Source organism: Homo sapiens, chromosome 16, assembly GCF_000001405.40.
Source record: "Homo sapiens chromosome 16, GRCh38.p14 Primary Assembly".
Classification (NCBI taxonomy): domain Eukaryota; kingdom Metazoa; phylum Chordata; class Mammalia; order Primates; family Hominidae; genus Homo; species Homo sapiens.
This window is the reverse complement of record NC_000016.10, coordinates 19,564,836-19,590,607: the sequence shown is the minus strand read 5'-3', so window position 1 is coordinate 19,590,607 and position 25,772 is coordinate 19,564,836. Positions and strand designations below refer to the sequence as shown.

Below are 25,772 nucleotides of genomic sequence, written 5' to 3'. Positions count from 1 at the left end.
ATGGAAGACCGCAGTCACACAATGTGGCCCCAAACACCTTTGATTATCTTTTATCATCAGAAACAGAAAAGCTCTTTCTACTTTGAAGAACTAAATTTAATGCCATGCCCTGAAGACTTTACAAATTCAAAAGTCAGCATAAGGAATTAAATAACTGCCACACTTCATCACCTCAATGGTTGACCCTCAGAAAGAAAAATGTCATTTAAAAATTAAAAAAAAGATGTTCAGACATTTAGAAAGGATTATTTAATATGCAATTCCAATATGCAGAGAATGGTGAGAACGTTCACCATGTCAAGAGATAGGTTGACATGTGTTTTCAGTTTGGTGTTGTTACCCAACATCTAAATTGTTAGAGTCACCAAGTTTCTCCATAGCATTACAGGCCTAAAAGTAAACAACGTGTCTGATTTGCGAAACATCCCCTTACAGCCCAAATGTTATTTGTGGGGGGGGGGGGGGGGGCGGGGCGGGAATGTAAGCTGTAAAAACAATAGTGCTGACACCAAACGTGGCAACTGGATGTATGTGGAATTCCATTTCCTGACACCTCGCTCTGCGATTTTCATATGCCCTTTGTGAGAGTTCCAACTTAAACAGCTGCCCCCATGAGATTTCAAGGCTGGAAAAAGCTAACAACTCCAAATCTCAGAGACTGTTTACAATACACAGTTCTCGGTTCCTAGGGATGTGACATCTCTGAGTTCTACCCAGAGCTGGGCTTGGACAGTCTCTCAGAGATGAGTTACTGCCCACTGGTGAGGTGAGAGAGAGAGAATTTAAACAGAGGATTTCAAATTAAACACAGCTGGGGCTTCCCAAACATCTGTGCATTGATTTTCTCCCAAGCTGGTTTCATAGAACATATATTTTATAAAGGACAACAGGAATAAGATTTTGTTTTTAATCCAAAGTTAAAGCTATAATGATCTTATAAATTGAAGTTACTTTTTAAATTACTGTTTTGAAGATGCCACAGTTTTTAAAGCTTTGGTGCCGCTTCCTAAACTTGTCTGATAAGAATCAGGTAACCCAGGTATGTGTTAACAATACAAATCCCAGCTGGGCATGGTGGCTCATGCCTGTAATCCCAGCACTTTGGGAGGCTGAGGCAGGAAGATCGCCTGGGCCCAGGAGTTTAAGACCAGCTTGGGCAATGTAGTGAGACCCCAGTTTCTACAAAAAATACAAAAATTATCCAGGCATGGTGGTGTGTGCCTGTAGCCCTAACTACTCAGGAGGCTGAGGTGGGAGAATCACTTGAGCGAGGGAAGCAGAAGTTGCAGTGAGCCGAGACCGCCCCACTGCACTCCAGTCTGGAAGACAGAGCAAGAATCTGTCTCAGAAAAAAGGTTAAAAAAATTTGAATAGCCACAACAAATGCATACATTCAAAGATGACCTGAGTAGGAAGGAAAGAAGTAGACCATTACTATCCAGAATACATCTTAAAAATTGCAAAACTCAGTACGAAAAACACAGATAACAAAATGGAAAAATGGGCAAAAGAAATCAGCAAAGGTCATTTTACAGAAAAGGAAACCCCAAAGGCCTATAAATATGTGAAAAGATGCTCATTTTTATTAGTAATCGAGGAACTGCAAATTAAAACCACAAGAAAATATGACTGGAAAAATTAAAATAGAAAATCTGCTCATACCAAATGGTGGTAGAATGTTGAATAGCACAGACTCTCACACGCCCACATACTACTACAAGCGTATGCTGGCACAGCTACTATGGAAAATAACTTAGCATTATCTGGAAAAGCTGAAGAGGCACAGAGCAGTTCTACTCTTAGGTATAGGCTCTTATCTAGAGAAAAGCTTTACATGGGCACCAGCAGACGTGACCAAACGTGCTCACAGTGACATTGTCCATGTAGTGAAAAAAGAACAGAGCCAGATGCTCATCAACAGATGGCAAAATTTATGCATCAGAAAATGATTTCATACTCAATGCAATACCTGTCAGAATCCCAGAAGGTTTTTTTTATTTTGTAAAAATTGACAAGCTGATCCTAAAATTCATACAGAAATGCAAAGGGCCCAGAACAGTGAAAATAATTTAAAAAAAGAAGAAGAAAAAAAAAGTTAAAAGACTTACACCACCCAGGCCAGGCGTGGTGGCTCATGCCTTAATCCCAGCACTTTGCGGGGGGCAAGGTGGGTGGATCACCTGAGGTCAGGAGTTTGAATTGAGACCAGCCTGGCCAACACGGTGAAACCCCATCTCTACTAAAAATACAAAAATCAGCCGGGCATGGTGGCAGATGCCCGTAATCCAAGCTACTCGGGAGGCTGAGGTGGGAGAATCGCTTGAATCTGGGAGGTGAAGGTTTCAGTGAGCCGAGCCAAGATGATGCCACTGCACTCCAGCCTGGACAACAGAGCAAGACTCTGTCTCAATAAATAAATACATACATACATACATACATACATACATACTTATATTACCCAGTTTCAAACTTGCTATAATGCCATAGTAATCAAAACAATGTGGAACTGGCCAGGCGCAGTGGCTCATGCCTTTAATCCCAGCACTTTGGGAGGCCGAGGTGGGTGGATCACTCGAGGTCAGGAGTTCGAGACCACCCTGGCCAACATGGTGAAACCCCACCTCTACTAAAAATACAAAAATTAGCTAGGTGTGGTGGTGCACACCTATAATCCCAGCTACTGGGGAGGCTGAGGTATGAAAATCGCTTGAACCTGAGAGGCAGAGGTTGCAGTGAGCAGAGATCACGCCACTGCACTCCAGCCTTGGTGACAGAGCAAGACTGTGTCTCAAAAAAAAAAAAAAAAAAAAGACAATGTGGAACTGGCATAAGGATTGACTTATGGATCAACAGAATGACAGTGAGAGTCCAGAAATAAACTCTTACATTTATGGTCGATTGATTTTTGTTTTTTTGTTTTTTAAGTAGTCTGAATTTGCCACCAGTGGTCAATTAATTTTTTTTTTTTTTTTTGAGACGGAGTTTCACTCTTGTTGCCCAGGCTGGAGTGCAATGGCACGATCTTGGCTCACCGCAACCTCCGCCTCCTGGGTTCAAGTGATTCTCCTGCCTCAACCTTGAGTATCAAGTAGCTGGGATTTCAGGCATGCACCACCACACACAGCTAATTCTGTATTTTTAGTAGAGACAGGGTTTCTCCATGTTGGTCAGGCTGGTCTTAAACTCCCGACCTCAGCTGATCCGCCCACCTCAGCCTCCCAAAGTGCTGGGATTACAGGCATGAGCCACCACGCCCAGCCTTGGTCAATTGATTTTTAACAAAAGTGCCAAGATCTCAGTAGAGAAAAACATAGTTAACATGGTTTGGCTCTGTGTTCCCACCCAAATCTCATGTCGAATTGTAATCCCCAGTGTTGGAGGAAAGGGCTGGTGGGAGGTAACTGAACCATGAGGGCAGACTTCCCCCTTGCTGTTCCTGTCAGACAGTTCTCATGAGATCTGGTTGTCTGAAAACCTGTGTCACCTCCCTGTTCTCTCTCTCTCTCTCTCTTTCTCTCTCCTGCTCTGCTATGGAAAGATGTACCTGCTTCCCCTTTGCCTTCTGCCACGATTTTAAGTTTCCTGAGGACTCCGCAGCCATGCTTCCTATACAGCCTGCAGAACTGTGAGTCAATTACACCTCTTTTCTTCATAAATTACCCAGTCTCAGGTAGTTCTTTATAGCAATGCAAGAATGGACTAATACAATAGTCTTTTCAACAAACGTTGCTGAGACAACTGTAGCTCCACATGCAAAAAAATTATTTAGATCCTTACCTTATAGGATATATAAAAAGTAATTCAAAATGAACCATTGACCTAAATGTAAGTGCTAAAATTATAACACTTCTAGAAGAAAACAAAAAAATCTTCATGACCTTGAGCTAGGCAAAGAGTTCTTAGATACAACTACAAAAGCATAAGCTAAAATGAGAAAATTGAGAATGGAGCTGAAAGTAAAAACTTCTGACTGGGCACGGTGGCTCACGCCTGTAATCCTGGCACTTTGGGAGGCCGAGGCAGGTGGATCACTTGAGGTTAGGAGTTCGAGACCAGCCTGGCCAACATGGCAAAACCCCATCTCTACTAAAAATACAAAAATTAGCTGGGCGTGATAGCAGGCTCCTGTAATCCCAGCTACTCAGGAGGCTGAGGTACGAGAATCGGTGGAACCCAGGAAGCGGAGGTTGCAGTGAGCTGAGATCATGCCACTGCACTCCAGCCTGGGCAACGAGAGCGAAACTCTGTCTCAAATAAATAAATAAATAAATAAATATACACATACATACATACATACTTCCACACTTCAAAGACACAATTATGAAAACAAAAAGACAAGCCACAGAGTAGGAGATCCTATACTTGACAAAGAAATAGTGTCAAAAATATATAAAGAATTGTTACAACTGGCCAGGTGCACTGGCTCATGCCTGTAATCCTAGCACTTTGGGAGGCCAAGATGAAAGGATCGCTTGAGCACAGGAGTTTGAGACTAGCCTGCATGACAAAGTAAAACCCTCCGTTTCTACAAAAAATTTAAAAATTAGCCGGGTGTGGCAGCATATGTCTATACTCCTAGCTACTGGGGAGGCTGAGGTGGGAGGATCACTTGAACCCGGGAGGTCAAGGCTATATTGAGCTGTGATGGCACCACTGCACTCCATCTGGAGTCATAGAGCAAGACCTTGTCTCCCAAGGAAAAAAAAATTGTTACAACTCAACCAAATAACACAATTTTTAAATGGGCAGGCATTGAATAGACATTTCACTATAGATATACAAATGGCCAATAAGCGTGTACAAAGATGCTCAACATCACTGTTAGGGATATACAAATTAAAACCACAATGAGGTACCACTTCAAACCCACTAGGATAGTAGGAGGGTTATAACAAAACTGATAGGCCAGGTGTGATGGCTCAGACCTGTAATCCCAGCACTTTGGGAGGCTGAGATGGGAAGATCACTTGAAGCCAGGAGTTCAAGACCAGACTGAGCAACACAGCATGGCCCTGTCTCTACAAAAAAAAAATTTTAAATAAACTGGGCATGGTTGTGGCCAATTGTAGTCCCAGCTACTCAGAAGGCTGAGGCGGGAGGATCGCTTGAGGCCAGAGTTTGAGGCTGGAGTGAGCTATGATTACACCACTGCACTCCAGCCTGGGTGACAGAGACCCTGTCTCAAAAAAAAAAAAAAAAAAGAAAAAAGAAAACAGAAGAAAAGATGGACAATACCGAGTGTCAGAGAAGATGTGGAGGAATTAGAACCCTCAGGTAAATGGTGCAGCCATCTGGAATATAGTTTGGCAGTTTCTCATCAAGTTAATCCTAACTTACCATATGACCCAGCAATTCCATTCCTAAAATTTTACCTAAGAGTAATAAAAATGTAAGTCCACGCAAATAATTGTACGCAAATGTGCAGAGCAGCATTATTCATAACAGCCAGAGAGTGGGAACAACCCAAATGCCCATCAACTTGTTAAGATAACCACACATTAGAATACGATTCAGCAGTAAAAAGGAACGAACTACCCACATGTAATATGATGTGGATGAACCTCAAACATATTATGCTAAAGAAAATAATCCAATTAAAAAATGGACAAAAGAGCTGAAGAGACATTTCTCAAAAGATGATACACAAATTAGCCAACAAGTATGTGAAAATATGCTCAGCATCACTCATCATCAGGGGAATCATCAAATGAAAACCACATGAAAATGACTACTATCAAAAAGACAAAAATAGGCTGGGCATGGTGGTATGTGCCTATAGTCCCAGCTACTTGGGAGGCTGAGGTGGGAGGATCACTTGAGTCTGGGACTTCTAGGCTGTAATGCAGAATGATCATGCCTGTGACTAGTCACTGCACTCCAGCCTGGGCAACCTCATCTCTTAATAAAAAAAAACAAAAAGAAAGAAAAAAAATGCTGATAAGAATACAGAGAAAAGGAAACTCTTTTTTTTTTTTTTTTTGAGACAGAGTTTTGCTCTTGTTGCCCATGTTGGAGTGCAATGGTGCAATCTTGGCTCACTGCAACCTCTGCCTCCTGGGTTCAAGCGATTCTCCTGCCTCAGCTTCCCAAGTAGCTGAGATTACAGGCACCTGCCACCATGCCCAGCTAATTTTTGTATTTTCAGTAGAGATGGGGTTTTACCATGTTGGCCAGGCTGGTCTCGAACTCCTGACCTCAGGTGATCCACCTGCCTCAGCCTCCCAAAGTGCTGGGATTACAGGCGTGAGCCACCACACCCAGCCGAAAAGGGAACTCTTACACACTATGGGTGGAAATGCAAATTAGTGTAACAATTCTAGAAAACAGTATGGAAATTTCTCAAAAAACTAAAAATAGAACTACCATATGATGTAGCAATCCCACAACTAGGTTATCATCTAAAGAAAAGAAAATCAGTATATCAAAGAAATACCAGCAGTACCATGTTTACTGCAGCACTATTCACAATAGCTAAGATATGAAATCAATCTAAATGTATATAAATGGATGAATGGATAAAGAAAACATGGTACACACACAGGAATATTATTTGGCCATAAAAAAATGAAACTCTGTAATTCACAGCAACACGAATGACCCTGGAAGCCATCATGTTAAGTGAAATAGGCACAGAAAGATACATACTGCATGTCCTCACTCATATGTGGGAGCTATGAAAGTTGAGCTCATAGAAGTGGAGAGTAGAACAGCGACGACTAGAGGCTGGGAAGGGTAGGGGCAAGGGGAGAACAAAGAGGTTGGTTAACAGGTACAAAATTACAGCTACATATGAGGAATAAGTTCTAGTGTTCAATAGCACCTAGGGTGACTATAGTCCAAAATTTATTGTGTATTTTCTTTTCTTTCTGTTTTCCTTTTTTTTTTTTTGAGACAATCTCACTCTGTCACCCAGGCTGGAGTGGTGTAGTGCGATCTCGGCTCACTGCAACCTCCACCTCCCATGTTCACGCAATTCTCGTGCCTCAGCCTCCCAAGTAACTGGGATTACAGGGGTGTGCCACGAGGCCCAGCTTATTGTGTATTTTTAAATAGCTAGAGGAGAAGATTTTGAATGTTCCCAACACAAAGAAATCAGAGACGTGTGAGGTGATGAATATGCTAATTACTTGGATTTGATCATTACACACGGGATACATGTATCAAAATATCACTCTGTACCCCATAAATATGTAGAATTATTATCTATCAATTAAAAAGGCACATTACACTATGTGAGAGAAGCCAGATCCAAAAGATTATCTATTGAATAATCCCATGTATATGAAATATCCAGGAAAGGTAGATTTATAAAGGCAGAAAACAGACTTGTGGTTTTCTGGGGTTGGGTATGGCAGTGGGGTTTGATTACAGACAGGCTCGGGGGAATCTGGGGAGGTATAAAAATGTTTTAAAACTAGATTGCGTGTTAGTTGCACAACTCTATAAGTTAAGTAAAAAAAAATCAATGAATTACACACTTATAATGGGTGGACTTTATGATATGTAAAATATGCCTTAGTAAAGCAGCCACTGGGTACCCCCCCAACACACACAAAAAAACTTTACCGTATAGCAAATTAGCCTGGCTAATTTTTGTATTTTTAGTAGAGATGGGTTTCACCATGTTGGCCAGGCTGGTCTCAAACTCCTGGACTCAAGTGATCCACCCGCCTCAGCCTCCCAACATGCTGGGATTACAGATGTGAGCCACTGTGCCCAGCCTTGACTATGTCTTTTGGATAAAGAAGGCAGTCCTTAATGTATTGTTGAATCGTTACTATTAGCCAGATGTGGAGTTGATGAAACACACTTAATGATTATTTTGTTTGTGAAGACATGAATCAAATCTCCCCCAGATGTAAACCTCTTAGAAGACACAGTTCTAAACTACAATAATCTACGGAGAGATGCTGCCAATGCAAATATTGTGAAGAAGTACTTGTTAGTTCAGATAGTTTCTCACTCGAGACACTCAGCAAGCAACCCTCTCCACGGGCTTCCAGGATGAGAGGCCTGGCCTTCGGGACTATTTACTCTGTAAACTAACAACAGTGATTGAAGAGAAACGGGCGTGGGTTTGCCTCCCATCATGAAATACCAAAGAAATCACCCGTACTATACAAGGAGTCATCTTAAAAGACTTCATGTGTCCAGTGTGAAGACTCCCGGACTCTCCTGTCTTTCAAAAGAACAGGTGAGAAAACAAATGTCACATTATCATAACATGGAATGAGAATGGGATCTGTCCTTTTGAACTAAAATGGCAGTTCAGAAATCCTTTGTAGACTCTGCTCTGAAAATGATAATTTAATGAATTATTCCTTTCCAAATATGCTTCTGAGCACATTTTGCTGAGACAGCAGGATCTTTAGGACCAAGACATATAAGCTGTTTTCCACATAGTACTTGTTCTTGTGGTTCAAGAATTGTCACTGGCTTAACAAATTCATCAACAAAGAAGATTCAATGTATGTACCTCTCCCAACGCTGTAAACTTCTCCTTGTCACATAAGCATGCATAATATGTCTGAAATATTCATTTATTAGGGACACGTCATTAATCCCAAAGACACCAAGCGAATGCGGTCAAGGAATCCCGAAAGAAAGTTGCTCAATCTTTAGTGTGTACAAATCATAAATGTGTCAGGGGTTGCACCATGGTTAATGTACTGCACAACACATGGGGTATCATCAGTTCTGTAACCTAGGGTGAAGAGTGCTTCCTGGAGTTGTGCAGTGCACAACCTGTGCAGCTGCACATGGTAACCCTGGGATTAGCCATCTCATAAAAACACAGATTCATAATCATGGCTTTTCACAGGAAGTATATGAAAAAGAAAGGGATGAGAAAACAAGAGTAAGACCCTGCAGGTAGGCCCCTGAAAACTCTAAGTCTCACAGTGGAATTTTACATAGGAAATTCTGGGTGGGGGTGGGGGATCACTAGAGCTAACCTGGATGACTATTTTTAGAGCCTTCACTTTCTGGTCTGAGGCCCAGGCATCCTTCAGCGATTGGTTGAGCTCCTCTATGCGGTTCACGTAATCCTGCTGAGTCAAGTTCAACAGCTCCTTTTGGGAACCCTGTGGGGAGAAGGCAGAAGGTGAAGGCATAGCAGGAAAAACATTGCTCGACTACACCCTTATAAAGAATACTAGGTATTGGCTGAGTTTTGGTCTCTAAATTTTCCTCATATCCCCGCCAGGATTGACAGCTTTGCCTTGCAATTTGCAATCAAAGAGGTTCTTTTGAGTTTTCTGACAAAGATGGACAGAGTGCTGTGGGTTGAAAGTCTGGCCTTGGAAGCAAGTCAGACCTAAGCCACCTCCCAGCTTGGACACCAAGTAGCTGTGTGACCCTGGGTAAGCTATTTTCCTCTCACAGCCTCATCTGTGAATTGAGGTAACAAGACTTACCTCATTCAACCAACTGTGGGCCCCCTGTGTGCAGGACATGGGACTAGATGATCGAGATACAAAGACATTTTTGCTCAAGATTCCCAAGCAATAAGACATGACAGGGTATTTCAGCACTAATGGAGCTTAAGATTCTGAAGACAGACGGATATTAACTCAAACTGAGATAAATGCTCAGGAGAAAACACAATTCTATGGGGACACATATACTGGATCTGAGGTGCCCATTGAAAAAAGCGCAACTGTTTCACGGGCTACTAAGGAAGAAAAATATGCTGATCACTGACAGGAACCAACTGAGGAACATATACCCCAATTTCAGAGATATTCAAATGTGAGAGAAATGGTACATCTCAGACTGGAAAAAATATGGTAACAAAGAAATGGACTGTAAACTGTGATGGGGGGATCAGGAATGGCTTCCTGGAGGAGTGATACTTGAGACAAACTCTCAGGGGAGTACAGGTACTGCAGAGTGTGGGGGTGTTAATTAGACCAAGGAGAGAGTAATCAGGACAGAAAGACAACCATAGCAAAAACCCTCGGCAGCTGAGCAAGGGATCGTCATGGGGATGAAATGACCATGTAGGTAATGACTTGGCACGGTCCCTGACGCACAGTAAATGCTCCTTAACCCTGGGCTATTGTTAAGAGGCTCTTCACACAACTCACAGGAGTGAAGGTCATGCAAACACACATGATGAGACCTGGAACCAAAGGTTTATATGTATATTTCCTACAATTCAAAGTGAAAAACGCTTTATTAAAGAAATAAGAGTAGGCTGGGCATGGTGGCTCACATCTGTAATCCCAGCATATTGGGAGGCTGAGGCGGGTGGATCACTTGAGGTCAGGAGTTTGAGACCAGCCTGGTCAACATCGTGAAACCCTCTCACCTAAAAATACAAAAATTAGCTGGGCACGGTGGCGCGTGCCTGTAATCCCAGTTACTCGGGAGGCTGAGGCAGGAGAATTGCTTTAACCTAGGAGGCAGAGGTTGCAGTGAGCTGAGATCGCACCACTGCACTCCAGCCTGGGTGACAGAGCGATCTCAACCTCCATCTCTTGGGTTCAAGCAATTCTCCTACTTCAGCCTCCTGAGTAGCTGGGATTACAGGCATCCGCCACCATGCCCAGCTAATTTTTGTATTTTTAGTAGAGACGGGGTTTCACCATGTTGGCCAGGCTGGTCTCAAACTCCTGACCTCAGGAGATCCACCTGCCTCGGTCTCCTAAAGTGCTGGGATTATAGGCATGAGCCACCGCGCCTGGCAAAGATTTTTTTTTTCAAGAAATTCTGTATTTGTTGGTTACATTTACCACTGTTTAAGTGTTGGCAAAAGACTCACTTTTTTTTCAAAGTACATGTAGGCCAATTAAAAGATTCCTGTGGGCCATATCCAGCCAGCCTGAGCAGCGTCTGTTGCAAAGCAAGGTCTTTGTGCTCCATATAAGGCTGCTTCTCAGGGAGGTGACTGCAGTTGGGTTATTTTTTTTAGACAAAGTCTTGCTCTTTCGCCCAGGCTGGAGTGCAGTGGCATGATCTTGGCTCACTGCAACCTCCGCCTCCCAGGTTTAAGCAATTCTCCTGCCTCAGCCTCCCGAGTAGCTGGGATTACAGGCACCCACCATCACGCCTGGCTAATTTTTGTATTTTTAGTAGAGTCAGGGTTTCACCATGTTGGCCAGGTTGGTCTCGAACTCCTGACCTCAGGTGATCCTCCCGCCTTGGCCTCCCAAAGTGCTGGGATTACAGGCGTGAGCCACCGCGCCTGGCCTTGCAGTTGGTTTTTACCATTAGACACTGTTGCTAGGCGACCCAGCCTTGCTCAGGCATCACAATGAGAAAAGAGGCCTCTAGAAAAGCAGCCCCAGTCAGGCTTCCGTGAGCTCGGCCAACTGCACACTGGCACCCTTCCCTGGATGGAGTCATTGCCTCGAGAGGACCAAGCACAATGCGCAGCCCAGGAATTAATCAAAGAGCAGCCACCGAGGTTGATCTCACTTGGCAGGAGGAAGGAAAAGCTCTCCCACTCCCTGTATTCCACAAATGACTTGCTCACCTCCTCAAAGTCATCCAGCTCCTCCAGCCGGGTCCGCACCTTCTCTGACATTGCCAATGTGGCAGTCCCAGCTTTGCCTAAACAGAATGAATTTACGTCACACAGGTGGCTTTTCTCGTGCACCAATACCCCCAGTGGAGGCATCTTTCACTCTACACTTCATCGTGAATAAAGACACAAGGGAATGATTCCATTATAGAAAACTATCCCAGATTTTCAAAGCAACTTCCTTATGTAACCAGAATTCCATCGAAACATTTCCCACTTAGAAGCTGCCCCTGGGAGCCCAGTGGGCCAGCCTCAAAGAGGTTAACCGCTGCATTTGAGATTTACAAACTTTGCTCTGTATCATCTGTTTATTCCTAAAGAAAGGCAGTCCAGATAAGGATGCCAAAAATCCGTCATCTAATTGTTTTCTATGAACAAAAGGCCCTCTTAGGCTCTTACTCACAGCGTAGAATTGTGCTCTCCTGCTAACAAAACAACCATCTCACTGTCTACCCAGGGTGGAAACACTAGGGCTTCAAAGCCCTCTCTTCGAGCAAACAGGACTAGCTGTGCCTCCTTCCAGCATCTGTCAGCACAATTTCGCCATCAGCAGGGACTGGTGGAGGGATGAAGGAAGGGCCCCCAGGCCACAGGCCAGCCACAAGGCAGGGCGATGCATCTAGCTGACTGCTGCCCTCTGCGGCCGTCTATTTCAGAATCCTTCCCCCATCTTTAGGGGGCCTCTGTTCTAGCATTTTTTTTTTTTTGAGATGGGGTCTTACTCTGTCGTCCACGCTGGAGTGCGGTGGCGCGATCTCGGCTCACTGTAACCTCCATCTCAAAAAAAAAAAAAAGAAAAAAGAAAGAAATGTGGACTTAGGGTCGAGCTGCAGAACTCTTTTTGTAAGCCTGACAAATGTTTTAGGTTTTAAGAGTCACAAAGTGTCTGCTCCAACTACTCAACTCTACTGTTGTAGCACAAGAGCAGGCATAGATAATATGTAAACAAATTGATAGGGCTCTGTTCCTATAAAACTGTACTTAAAAAACAGGCAGTGGACCAGACTTGGCCTGCAGCATGCAGTTTACCAACCCCTGATCTGGGGATACCCCTAGTAGTGGAATGCTGGATCAAAGGGTTGGCTCATTGTGTTAATCCCTTTGAGCTGCTATAACAAAATGCTACAAAGTGGGTGGCTTATAAATAAGAGCAATGTATTTCTCGCAGTCCTAAAGGCTGGGAAGTCCAAGATCAAGGTCCCAGCAGATTAGGTCCCAGTGCCTGATGACAGCCTGCTTTCCGGTTGGGTTCATAGATGATGCCCTCCTGCTGTGTTTTCACTTGGTGGAAGGGGTGAGGGGAGTGCCCTTGGACCTCTTTTATAGGGCACTAATCCCATTCATGAGGGTTCCACCCTCATGACCTAATCACCTCTGAAAAGGGCCCATCTCCTAATACCATCATCTTGGGGTTAGGATTTCAACATATGAATCGGGGCAGGGGAGTGGGGTTAGGCACAAACAACCAGACCACAGCACCTGTCTTCAAATAAAATAAAAAATGCAAAAGTGTTCTACAAGGTGGTTGTGCCATTTTACATTCCCACCAGCAGCATATGAGAGCTCCTATTGCTCTATATTCATACAAAGTCTCATCTTTGAAATGTGATCCCCAGTGTTGGAGGTGGGGCCTGGTGGGAGGTGTCTGGGTTGTAGTGGGGGATCCACCATGAACGGCTTGGTGCCATCCTTGCAGTAATGAGTGCAGTAATGAGTTATTCTTACTTCCCATGAGAACTGGCTGTTGAAAAAAGCCTGGCATTTTCTCCCTCTCTCTCCTCCCTTCTCTTGCCATGCAATCTCTGCACACACCTGCTCTCATTTGCTTTCACCATGAGTGGAAGCAGCCTGAGGCCCTCACCAACAGCAGATGCTGCACCATGCTTCTTATATAGCCTGTGGAACCATAAGTCAAGTAAACCTCTCTTCCTTATAAATTAGCCAGCCTCTGGTATTCCTTTATAGTACCACTAAACAAACTAAGACACTTGGTATCATCACTCTATTTGATCTTTACAAACTGGTGGGTATGATTTACCTTTTATGGTCTGGGATCAAAATTCTGTCCATAACAAGCTGGGCGTGGTAGCTCACACCTGTAATCCCAGCACTTTGGGAGGCCAAGGCAGGTGGACCACTTGAGGTCAAGAGTTTGAGACCAGCCTGGCCAACATGGTGAAACCCTGTCTCTATTAAAAATACAAAAATTAGCTGGGCCTGGTGGTGCACACCTATAGTCCCAGTAACTCAGAAGGCTGAGGTGGGAGAATTGCTTGAACCCAGGAGGCAGAGGTTGCACTGCACCATGGGTGACAGAGCAAAATTCCATCTCAAAAAAAAAAAAAATTCTATGCATAACAAAGCTGTTCCCACTCTCTTGATTTCTAACGTGCTGTCTCATCCAGCAGAGCCGTGGGGAGAGTGGCAGCTGCCATATCAGAGACCTGCAATGAACTATGATTGTGCTCATCTGCACCCAGCAGCACATGATCCGTCAGTTGCTCCAGAATCCCCTTGGAGCATCAAAATAGGAATTCTGGGGTCCCATCCTGCAAGATTAATTGAGCAAGTGGGGGCCAGGCATCTATATTCATACAAAAGTTCCTCAGGAAATCCTGCTACACGGCAGTTTGAGACACCCTGGTCCAGAGCTTCTGACTGTGTGTCTTAGGAGAGGAAGCTGAGAACTGCATTCAGGGACCAGTGACGTATAAGACTAAGCATGTGACCCCCTCACCAACATACCTTATTGCACAAGGGAAAAGACTTAAGGCAAGGGAAAGGCTCTCTAAAACCCAGTTGGTGAGGGAGGCACAATGAGGGGGAGACTACTTCCTCTGTAATTCTTAAACAGTAAGCTTACGTTTTACTCCTAGTAACCTCTTTGTTTTTTTTTTTTGTTTTTTTTTTTTTTTGAGACAGAGTCTCGCTCTGTCACCCAGAATGGAATGCAATGGCACGATCTTGGCTCACTGCAACCTCCGCCTCCCAGGTTCAAGCGATTCTCCTGCCTCAGCCTCCTGAGTAGCTGGGATTACAGGCATCTGTCACCATGCCTGGCTAATTTTTTTTTTTTTTTTTTTTTTTAGTAGAGATGGAGTTTCACATTGTTGGCCAGGCTGGTCTCGAACTCCTGACCTCAAGTGATCTGCCCGCCTTGGCCTCCCAAACTGCTGGGATTACGGGTGTGAGCCACCGCACCAGGCCATATATATATATTTTTTTAATACGGAATTTCACTCTTGTTGCCCAGGCTGGAGTGCAATCTTGGCTCACTGCAACTTCCGCCTCCCAGGTTCAAGCGATTCTCCTGCCTCAGCCTCCTATGTAACTGGGATTATAGGCATGTACCACCACGCCCAGCAAAATTTTGTATTTTCAGTAGAAATGGGGTTTCACCATGTTGGCCAGGCTGGTCTCAAACTCCTGACCTCAGGCGATCTGCCTGTCTTGGCCTCCCAAAGTGCTGGGATTACACAGGTGAGCCACCGTGCCCGGCTGTATTTTTTTTTTTTTTTTAAGACGGCATTCCTGTCACCCAGGCTGCAGTGCAATGATGCAATCTTGGCTCACTGAAACCTCCGCCTCTCAGGTTCAAGTGATTCTCCTGCTTCAGCCTCCTGAGTAGCTGGGATTACGGGCGTGCGCCACCACGCCCAGCAAATTTTTGTATTTTTAATAGAGACGAGATTTCACCATGTTGGCCAGGCTGGTACCAAACTTCCTGACCTCAGATGATCCACCCACCTTGGCCTCCCAAAGTGCTGGTATTTGGTATTTTTTTAATTCATGCTCTAAATATGTATTTTATTTCTACGTCTATCCACAATCTAAGAAATAGCAGCTCCAACTGAATCAAACATCAGAATCATATCACATAAAACTTTTTTCCTTTGTAAAATTATACTAAAAGTAATGCCAGAATTTTCCCATCAAAACAACAACAAACTCATCTTACCTTTTTCAGATCCCATAAACAGATTCTGCAGAGACATAAAATTCATTAATATTTTAAAAATCGAAGGCAGTATGTTCATTGTTTTCCAACAGAGCCATTTACATACCCAAGAGAAAGAAATATATATTCAAAGAAGAAAAATACAGTCACTAAAAACCACTGGAGATTCAAATTTCTACTCAAGTCAGGGTTCTCAAAGTCAGCAGACAAATACTAAAATTTTTGATATGACAGCGGAGTCACATAATAGAACTATTTTTAACCTACTCTGAATCAGGGTTTATCACCCTCTACACTACTGCCATTTGAGGCCAGATAACTTTTTGTGGGAGATTAATTCTGTGCACCGTTGGATGTTTAGCCCCATCTCTGGCCTCCACCCAATAAATGTCAGTACCACCCCCAGAACTGTGACAGTCAAAAATGTCTCTAGATATTGCCAAATGATGACCCAGGGGTAAAAATTACTCCTGGTTGAGAATCACTGCTCTAAGTTAACTCTGTACAGTTAAAAAAAAAAAAGACTCAATTTAAATAGTCCAGCAATTCTGCCTATCATTCTGTTCAATGAGTACACACCCTGGGAGGAAAAAATGAAGAGAAGAGGCGTTGAGGCCAAGCGTTCCCCATGGCCTGCCAAGTTCACTGTTTCCTCCAGGGCACAGCCCCATTTGTAGATGGACACGCTGCTACATTTCTCAGCCTCCCTGCATCTATGCGTGGCCCATGATCACACCTTCAAGACAAATGTAACTAAAAGTGTTGCGGGACCCCAAGAAGTCTTCCTAAATGGGAGGGGGCGCATCTTTCTTTCCCTTTCCTCCCTCTGTCTACCAACATGAATGTGAGGCAACACTCAACACAGCCGAGGAGCAAGAAAGAATGCGGCGGAACCCTGATGCCCTCGGAGCTGCCAAACCAGCCCTGGACTCCTCTCCTCGAGACTTTTCTCCAGCGTAAGGAGGGATACAGGTCACTCTTGTTTACAATGTTAGCAGGGGCTTTAGTTCTAAGCAACTGAACCCAGTCCTAACTCACACAGGCATTAACCTGACTGGGTTGGTCTCAGCTCTCCTGAGTCTTTCCTTCCACAGCAATTTGCCAAGTGAAGGGTAAGCCTCGAATTTCGTAAGTGTCTTGAGGCCAAAGCCAACTACTTCACCTAATGGCCATCCAGAGAAATAGTAAATTTCCAGCTCCAGGGGAAAACCCAGCTATATGGGACTTACTGAGTGACACCTTTCTCCTCCAGTGTTGTGCTCTCCTCCCTTAATTCATTTTTTAAATTAATTAATTAATTAATTTTTTTTGAGATAGGGTCTCACTCTGTCACCAAGGCTGGAGTGCAGTGGCGTGATCTCTGCGCAATGTAACCTCCACTTCCCGGGTTCAAGCAATTCTCATGCCTCAACCTCCTGAGTAGCTAGGATTACAGGTGCCCGCCACCACGCCTGGCTAATTTTTTTAGTAGAGATGGGGTTTCACTATGTTGGCCAGGCTGGTCTCGAACTCCTGACCTCAAGTGATCTGCCCACCTTGGCCTCCCAAAGTGCTGGGATAACAGGCGTGAGCCACCGTGCCCGACCTCCTCCCTTCATAATTCAAACCTCCTCCCAAAGACAAGACTCTGCTGTTCTAATTCTTTCTCTGGCCTGTGCCACATCCCTGATCCTTAACATTTTTTTTTGGGAAACCTGTCAGCACATTTTTCTGCCAACAACACTGACATACTACATGAAGCCTTATATGTGAGCTTTTAAGAGAAGTAGAAAAATAAATAAATAAGTGAAACTTACAGAGCCCAGGAGTTGAAGCAACATAACAAAAAGAAATTACTACTAACTCCAAAGTAGACTCTGGAGAGGGTCTCCTGGTACTCACAATAGACAGCTTTTCGGTAGTGGTGTACCGGGCAAGGATTTCTCCCCGTTTGTTGGTCCAAGGCTCAAAATCCGATCCTACAACGGAGTTATCATCTCTATCACGTTTCCTTCTGGAGCTGTCCTAAAGAAAGGCAAGATAATCTCTTCAGCAGCAATATCATTTTGATCTTTAAATATATACATATATAAATAGAAGCCAGATAGTCCTTTACTGTGGAATAAAAGAGATTTGTCTCAAGGTTTACTATCATAAAAAAAATTACAGCGCCAGGCATGGTGCCTCACGCCTGTAATCCCAGCACTTTGGGAGGCCAAGGTGGACGGATCACTTAAGGGCGGGGGTTTAACACCAGCCTAGCCAACATGGTAAAACCCCATCTCTACTAAAAATACAAAAATTAGCCAGGTGCATGCCTGTAGTCCCAGCTACTCAGGAGGCTGAGGCAGGACAATCGCTTGAACCTGGAAGGCAGAGGTTGCAGTAAGCCAAGATTGTACCACTGCACTCCAGTCTGAGTGACAGAGCAAGACTCCATCTCAAAAAAAAAATTCAGACCATTTCATCATAAATGGACAATAAACATATCAAAAAATGCTCAAACTCATTAAGAATTAAGGAAAGGATAGTTGGAAAAGACCACTTTTTCAACTATCAGAATGTCAAAGAGTTAAAATGCTGGCTGATGTCAGGCTGGCAAGGATGCAGGGAAACAGACCCTCTTCAACATCACTGGTGGAAATGCAGACTGGTTAACTCTTTTTGGAGGACAATTTGGTGATAGCCATCAAAACCTTAAATACACATTGCCTTATGCCAGCAAAGAGATGGAGTCTCGCTCTGTTGCCCAGGCTGGAGTGCAGTGACGTGATCTCTACTCACTGCAATCTCCGCATCCCAGGTTCAAGTGATTCTCCTGTCTCAGCCTCCCGAGTAGCTGGGATTACAGGTGCCCGCCACCACACCTGGCTAATTTTTGTATTTTTAGTAGAGATGGTGTTTCACCACGTTGGTCCGGCTGGTCTCGAATTCCTGACCTCATGATCCGCCCGCCTCAGCCTTCCAAAGTGCTGGGATTACAGGCGTGACCCACTGCGCCTGGCCAACCAGCAAAGAACTTCTAGGAAGCTATCCTGCAGAAATCCTTGCAGACATGCACCAAGATGTGTGTGTGTTCGAGACACATGCTGCACTGCTGTTTGTACCAGCAAAACCCAGAAACTATCTGGGATATCCTCCATCTGATGGATACATCAGTAGAGGAATGGTAAATTAAAATAGGTAAATCCAGTCTTTAGAATACCATACGGCTGGTCAAAATAATAAGGTTGTTCTAAATGTACTAACATGGATAGTTCTCCAAGACATATGGTCAAGTTAAAAAAAAAAAAAAAGTTGGCTGGGCGGCATGGCTCAAACTTGTAATCCCAGCACTTTGGGAGGCCAATGTGGGCAGATCACCTGAGGTTAGGAGTTCGAGACCAGCCTGGCCAATGTGACGAAACCTTGTCTCTACAAAAAATACAAAAATTAGCCAGGTGTGGTGGCACATGCCTGTAATCCCAGCTACTAGGTAGGCTGAGGCAGGAGAATCACTTGAACCCAGGAGACAGAGGTCACAGTGAGCCAAGATCGCGCCACTGCACTCCAGCCTGGGCAACAGAATGAGACTCCGTCTCAAAAAAATAAAATAAAATAAAATAAAATAAATTAAAAAAAAAAGTTGTGGGGTGCAGTGGCTCAGGCCTGTAATCCCAGCAACTCTGGTAGGCCAAGGCAGGAGGATTGCTTGTGCCCAGGAGTTTGAGACCAGCTTTGGCAACACAGTGAGACCCCAACTCTACCAAAAAATCCAAAATTAGCTGAGTGCGGTGGCACACACCTGAAGTCCCAGCTGCTCGAGAGGCTGAGGCAGGGGGATTGTTCGAGCCCAGGACTTTAAGGCTGCAGCGAGCTATGATCATGCCACTGCAGTCCAGCCTAGGCAAAAGAGCAAGACTATCTCCAAAAAAACAAGTCACAAAACAGCAGTTCCATTTATGTAACAATGGTAAATAATATATGAAACACAGGCCGGGCACAGTGGCTTACGCCTGTAATTGCAGCACTTTGGGAGGCCGAGGTGGGTGGATCACGAGGTCAGGCGTTCGAGACCAGCCTGGCCAATATAGTGAAACCCCGTCTCTACTAAAATACAAAAATTAGCTGGGCATGGTGGCACGTGCCTGTAGTCCCAGCCACTCGGAAGGCTGAGGCAGGAGAATCGCTTGAACCTGGGAGGTGGAGGCTGCGAGTCGAGATCACCCCACTTCACACCGGCCCGGGTGACAGTGTGAGACTTCATCTCAAAAATATATATATATATATATATATATATATATATATATATATATATATATATATATATGAAACACAGCATAGGATGATGATCGAGAGCATGTATTCTGAAGTCAGACTGGCCAGGTTTGAATCCCAGCTTGGATGTGACTTGTTATCTCTATCCCTCCATGGCTGCCTCTTTAATGAGGATTCCAATACCTCTCACAAGGTAGTAAGAGAACCAAATACAAAACGCACTCCGGAAAAATGCCTGCCATGCAGTAAGTTGATGCTGTAATTATTTATATATGAGTACGTATGGGAATGCTCAGAAACTGCTATCGCAAGTATCTATGAAAATACAGGGGAAAAGCTATGGAAGAAGACACATTACAGCCATCATTCTCACAACCGCCAGGGTGGAGATTGGAATGAGGATTGCTCTACATGACTTTATCTGTAGTGTCTGACTTTTTCACATCAAAATGAGTGATTTACTTATGTATTATGTAAAAAGATTTATAAGAAGAATAAAATTAAAATTAAAAATAAATTTTAAGAGCCAGGTGCAGTGGCTCACGCCTGTAATCCCAGTGCTTTGGGAGGTTGAGGCAGGTGGATCACTTGAGGTCAAGAGTTCAAGACCAGCCTGGTCAACATGATGAAAGCCCATCTCTACCAAAAAACACAAAAATTAGCTGGGCATGGTGGTGCATGCCTGTCCCAGCAATTTGGCAGGCTGAGGTGAGAGAATTGCTTGAACCCGGAGTCGGAGGCTGCAGTGAGATTGCACCACTGCACTCCAGTTTGGGTGACACAGCAAGGCTGTCTGAAAAAAATATTAAATTAAAAAATAAAAATAAATTTTAAAATGCTTTCAAACAAAAAAACAAAAAGACTTCACAGAGCTACACCAGCCTCTCATGTCAGGATGACCTGACCAGAAGGTACCGTGTGCATTACTTGTGCAACTTAAAAAAGGGGAAGAAGCTTTAGGAGGCTCAGGTGGGAGGATCGCTTGAGGCTTGGAGTACAAGACCACCCTGGGCAACACAGCAAGACCCCACCTCTACAACAAAATAAAAAATTAACCCGGCACAGTAGTGTGTACCTATAATCCCAGCTATTCAGGAGGGTGAGGTGGGAGAATTGCTTGAGCCCCGGAGTTGGAGGCTGCAGTGAGCCATGACCACACCACTGCACTCCAGCCTGGGTGACAGAGTGAGACTCTGTCTCTCAGGGGAAAAAAAAGGGCAGGGCACAAGAAAACCACCCATTCCTGCACCCACAAAACCAACCCCCACTGGACGACCATGGCTGGGGTGCATTACCATGGCAGCTGCCAAGGCTGCGGGGTCAGCAGTGGCTGCAAACATGGAGAGGGGGTCAGTCCCATCGAGGACGCTGCTCAGCGGGTCCACCACGGAGCTGGAGGAGGAGGAGGACGTGGAAGAAGTGCTTCCTTTCCGGTTCACTTTCTTTGTCTTTGACTCTGTGACCTGTGAGGAAAATTTCTGGAGGTAAAACGGAACTCCCACAACTCTCTCCAGTGAAACACTCCAGTGGGTACTTTCCTCCCATTCTGGTAGTTGAATGGATGGTTCATTTGCAGCAGAGACTTAACCATCTGCAGGGGATGCTTAGTTTTTGTGACAAATGGACATGACTCAGGATCACAACTGTCAAGGAAGGGAAAGTAGGAAGTTAGGGTTAGGAAGTGTTAAAAAAATTAATTGAGAGGTCACTGGACTGAGATGGCTACAGCACCTGGGGTTCCCTATGTAGCAAACCAAAATCCAACTCAATATAAGTAGCAAAATGGAACTTAAGCTTAATCAGTTGCAAATCGCCAACTACCCACTAACTAGAGACTACCAATCAAAACCAACAACTAACATCTAAGTAGGGAATTTCTACTTTAACCAGGTACTTTTTTTTTGCCTTTCTCCCTTGAACACCTCATAAAAGTTAAGTTTTCTACTGGGTGCAGTGGCTCATGCCTGTATCCCAACACTTTGTGGTGCTGAGGCAGAAGGATCACTTGAAGCCAGGAGTTTGAGACCAGCCTGGGCAACATGGTGAAGTCCTATCTCTACAAAAGATATGAAAATAATCCAGGTGTGGTGGTACATGCCTGTGGTCCCAGCTACTCAGAAGGCTGAAGTGGGAGGATGGCTGGAGCCCAGGAGGTGGAGGTTGCAGTGAGCCGAGATCGCACCACTGCACTCCAAGCTGTTAAATTTATGTGGTCTCTGCCCCCAGTTCCTCCCACAGAGCTCCTAATACCCTAGGAGATTTCCTGGGTGATAGGAGCATCTTTTGTCCTAATAAGGTGACTCCCGATGGGCTCCTGCAGAGCTTCAGGATGGGGTCTGGTCACCAGAAAGACCAAGCCATGATTAGAAGATTGGAGCTTTCAGCCCCATTCCCCATCCTTCGGGAAGGTGAGAGGGCTGGAGACCGAATGAATAATCAATCATGCCTATGCAACGATGCCTCAAAAAAAAAAAAACATGAAAAATGGGGTTTTGGGAGGCAGAGGTTGCAGTGAGCTGAGAATGTGCCATTGCACTCCAGCTGGGCGATACAGTGAGACCCTGTCTCAAAAAAAAAAAAGGGGGGGGCGGTTTGAAGAGCTTCCAGGTAGGTGAACAAGAACACATCGAGGTACCTGGAGGGGACATGAAAGCTCTGTGTGCCCCTTCCCCTGGGCCTCACCCTACGTAGCTCTTCATCTGGCTGTTCATCTGTATTCTTTGTAATATCCTTAATAATAAACTGTTAAGTACAAGTAAATACTAAATAATAAACTGGTAAGTATAAGTAAATGTTTCCCTAGTTCTGTGAGCCACTATAGCAAATTATTGAACATGAGGGAGGGAGGCATGGGAACTCCCAATGTGTAGCGAAGTTGGAGTTTCTGAAGTGAAGATGTCTTTTTTTTTTTTTTTTGGAGACAGGGTCTCGCTTTGTCACTAAGCCTGGAGTGCAATGGTGTGATCACGGTTCACTGTACCCTCGACATCCTGGGCACAAGCAATCTTCCTGCCTCCGTCTCCTGAGTAGCTGGGACTACAAGCACACCATCACACTTTGCTAATTGTTTTTTTACTTTTTGTAGAAGTGGGGTATCACTATGTTGCCAAGGCTGTTCTCGAACTCCTGGGCCCAAGGGATCTTCTCATCTAGCATCCCAAAGTGCTGGGAGTACAGGCATGAGCTACCATACTGGGCCAGGGCTGTCTCACTGAGGACCTTGCCCTCAAACCTGTCGAGTCAGATGCCAACTGCCGGCGATGGCTGCCTGAATGGAGTTGAACTGCAGTCTAGGGGAGGGAGAGAAGCACCTCCCATTGGGGTACATTTGCTGTTTTTGTCTGCCTGGCACCCATTCCTCCACCTCACAGGCTTAATACTTAATACCCCAATTTTTATTTGAGAAAACATCTCTCCCCCACACTCAGTTCCTACAGGCCTGGTGGGGTGAACTCTGTTCTCAGTTCCCAAGGTGAGCATTAGACCTACCCCAATCTATCAACTTATTCTATACAGCAGGTCACCAATGCTGGTTCAGGGTAGGGCGCATAACAAAACTGGGTCAATGAAAACTGCTTGAGAAAAGCATTTTCCTGCTGCTGATGTTGCTAACCTAACAGGATAGGCCTGGAGCTGCAGCAGCTCTTCTCAGCTATTCTGTTATGGTATGGGTGTTAAATCAAGTTTAGCCTAAAGCTGTCTCCTTACCTATTTTAAGTTTGGCCTAAAGGTTTCTCTGCACATAGTGAACTATAACCTCATTGGACATGTAAACAGAGTGTAACCTACTCTTGTGCCAATCACCAAGTTTTGGCCAATTAAAGGGGGCCAACTGGGCCGGGCACAGTGGCTCATACCTGTAATCCCAGCACTTTGGGAGGCTGAGGCAGGCGGATCACCTGAGGTCAGGAGTTTGAGACCAGCCTGGCCAACATGGTGAAACCATGTCTCTACTAAAAAGACAAAAAAATTAGCTGGGCATGGTGGCGGGCGCCTGTAGTCCCAGCTACTCAGGAGGCTGAAGCAGGAGAATCACTTGAACCCGGGAGGTAGAGGTTGCACTGAGTTGAGATTGTGCCATTGCACTCCAGCCTGGGCAAGAGTGAAACTCTGTCTCAAAAAAAAGAAAAAAAAGGGGGGGGCCAACTGTTCAAATTGGGTTCAAATAAGGCAAATACTGAACTGTAACCAATCCGGCTGTTTCTGTACCTCACTTCTATTTTCTGAATGTCACTTTCCTTTTTGTGTCCATAAATCTTCTACCACGTGACTGTGCTGGAGCCTCTCTGAACCTACTCTGGCTCAGGAGGCTGCCCAATTCATGAATTATTCTTTGCTCAATTAAGCTCCATTAAATTTAATTTGGCTCAGAATTTTCCTTTTATTTTTTTGAGATGGAGTTTCTCTCTGTTGCCCAGGATGGAGGGCAGTGGCGTGATCTTAGCTCACTGCAACCTCTGCCTCCTGGGTTTAAGTGATTCTCCTCTCTTAGTCTCCTGAGTAGTTGGGACTACAGGCATATGCCACTATGCCCAGCTAATTTTTATATTTTTAGTAGAGATGGGGTTTTGCCATGTTGGCCAGGCTGGTGTCGAACTCCTGACCTCAGGTGATCCACCCACTTCAGCCTCCCAAAGTGCTGAAATTACGGGTGTGAGGCATGGAGCCCGGCCAAGAATTTTCTTTTAACATGGGGAACGGGCACCTGAGAATGAACGCAACTGTGGCTGTGCTGAGGTCACCCACAGCCACACAACAGCATGGGGATTGAAGGGGTCCTGGGAGGCTAAATCTCAGTCTTGGGGTCTTCTGCTTTATGCAATCATCTCCATACATTCCCAGAGCCTCCATGCTGACAATCACATCTTCTCTTCTCCCCAACATGACAACCGTGTAGTTTCTATTACTTGCTAATAAGACAGTACCAACCTGGCAGAGAGGAACCAGCCAAGTCTCTTGCCTGCTTTTGTTTTTATTTTTTAAATAAACCCACAGATAGACTAAGATGCTATTCAGGACAGCACTCTCTGCTGGCAATTAGAGTGACTCTTATATTCCAAATACAAAAATTAAAAGTCAAGATACATTTTGTTGACACAGCCAAATCAGGAACAAAGTCATCCCATTCACAAGGGAACCTCACTAAGGAGGAAGGAAGGGAGTAAAAATGGTGCTAGGTGAGGCCAATATTACAAAAAAGAGGCAGTGAACAAACTGGTTGATTTAAATATGCAGGCCGGGCGAGGTGGCTCACTCCTGTAATCCCAGCAGTTTGGGAGGCCAAGGTGGTTGGATCACCTGAGGTCAAGGGTTCGAGACCAGCCTGGCCAACATGGCGAAACCCTGTCTCTACTAAAAATAAAAAAAATAGCAAAAATTAGCCAAGCGTGATGGTGCATGCCTGTACTCCCAGCTACTCAGGAGGCTGAGGCAGGTGAATTGCTTGAACCTGGGAGGCAGAGGTTGCCGTGAGCTAAGATCACACCACTGCACTCCAGCCTGGGCTACAAAGTGAAACTCCATCTCAAAAATAAATCAGGCTGGGCACGGTGGCCCACACCCATAATCTTTGTGAGGTGGAGGTGGACAGACTGTCTGAGCTCAGGAGTTCAAGACCAGCCTGGGCAACATGGCGAAACCCCATCTCTACTAAAAAAACACAAAAACTTAGCCAGGCATGGTGGCGTGTGCCTATAGCCCCAGCTACTCGGGAGGCTGAGGCAGGAGAATCGCTTAAACCCAGGAGGCAGAGGTCAGAGGTTGCAGTGAGCCACCACTGCACTCCAGCCTGGGCGACAGAGCAAGACTCTGAAAAAAAAAAAAAAATCAAATATGCAAAAGTGGCTACCACTGGCAAAACGGAAAAGACTCAGGAAGATTGTCTTTCATTTCAAGGGATAAGAATATCATTCAGAAAGACCCTTAACAAAACTTACAGTTATGGGTTTCAGAGGGTGATAGTCCCCAAACTCCAATGGTACAGCCTCCAGTCGGCATGATGCAAATTCAGCTTTGTAGTTCCTATTCCTGGAGTGCCTGGTAAACAGCGAA

The 25,772-nt window shown here is 44.8% G+C and overlaps 1 protein-coding gene across 7 annotated transcripts in view; it reads right to left on the bottom strand.

Annotated features, from left to right (window-relative positions):
• Positions 1-25,772, bottom strand: part of VPS35L (VPS35 endosomal protein sorting factor like) — a 145,461-nt gene that overhangs the window by 110,556 nt on the left and 9,133 nt on the right. For all 7 annotated transcript variants that reach the window (NR_158161.2, NR_158160.2, NM_001365295.2 and 4 more), the window contains exons 2-7: positions 25,658-25,757; positions 21,017-21,184; positions 17,367-17,489; positions 15,486-15,510; positions 11,480-11,556; positions 8,955-9,083 (exon numbers count right to left, since the gene is read on the bottom strand). Coding sequence is in view for 4 of the 7 variants with exons in the window: in NM_020314.7 (NP_064710.5) it covers positions 8,955-9,083; positions 11,480-11,556; positions 15,486-15,510; positions 17,367-17,489; positions 21,017-21,184; positions 25,658-25,757 (622 nt within the window). In the remaining 3 variants the exon portion in view is untranslated. The remainder of the gene's footprint in view (positions 1-8,954; positions 9,084-11,479; positions 11,557-15,485; positions 15,511-17,366; positions 17,490-21,016; positions 21,185-25,657; positions 25,758-25,772) is intronic.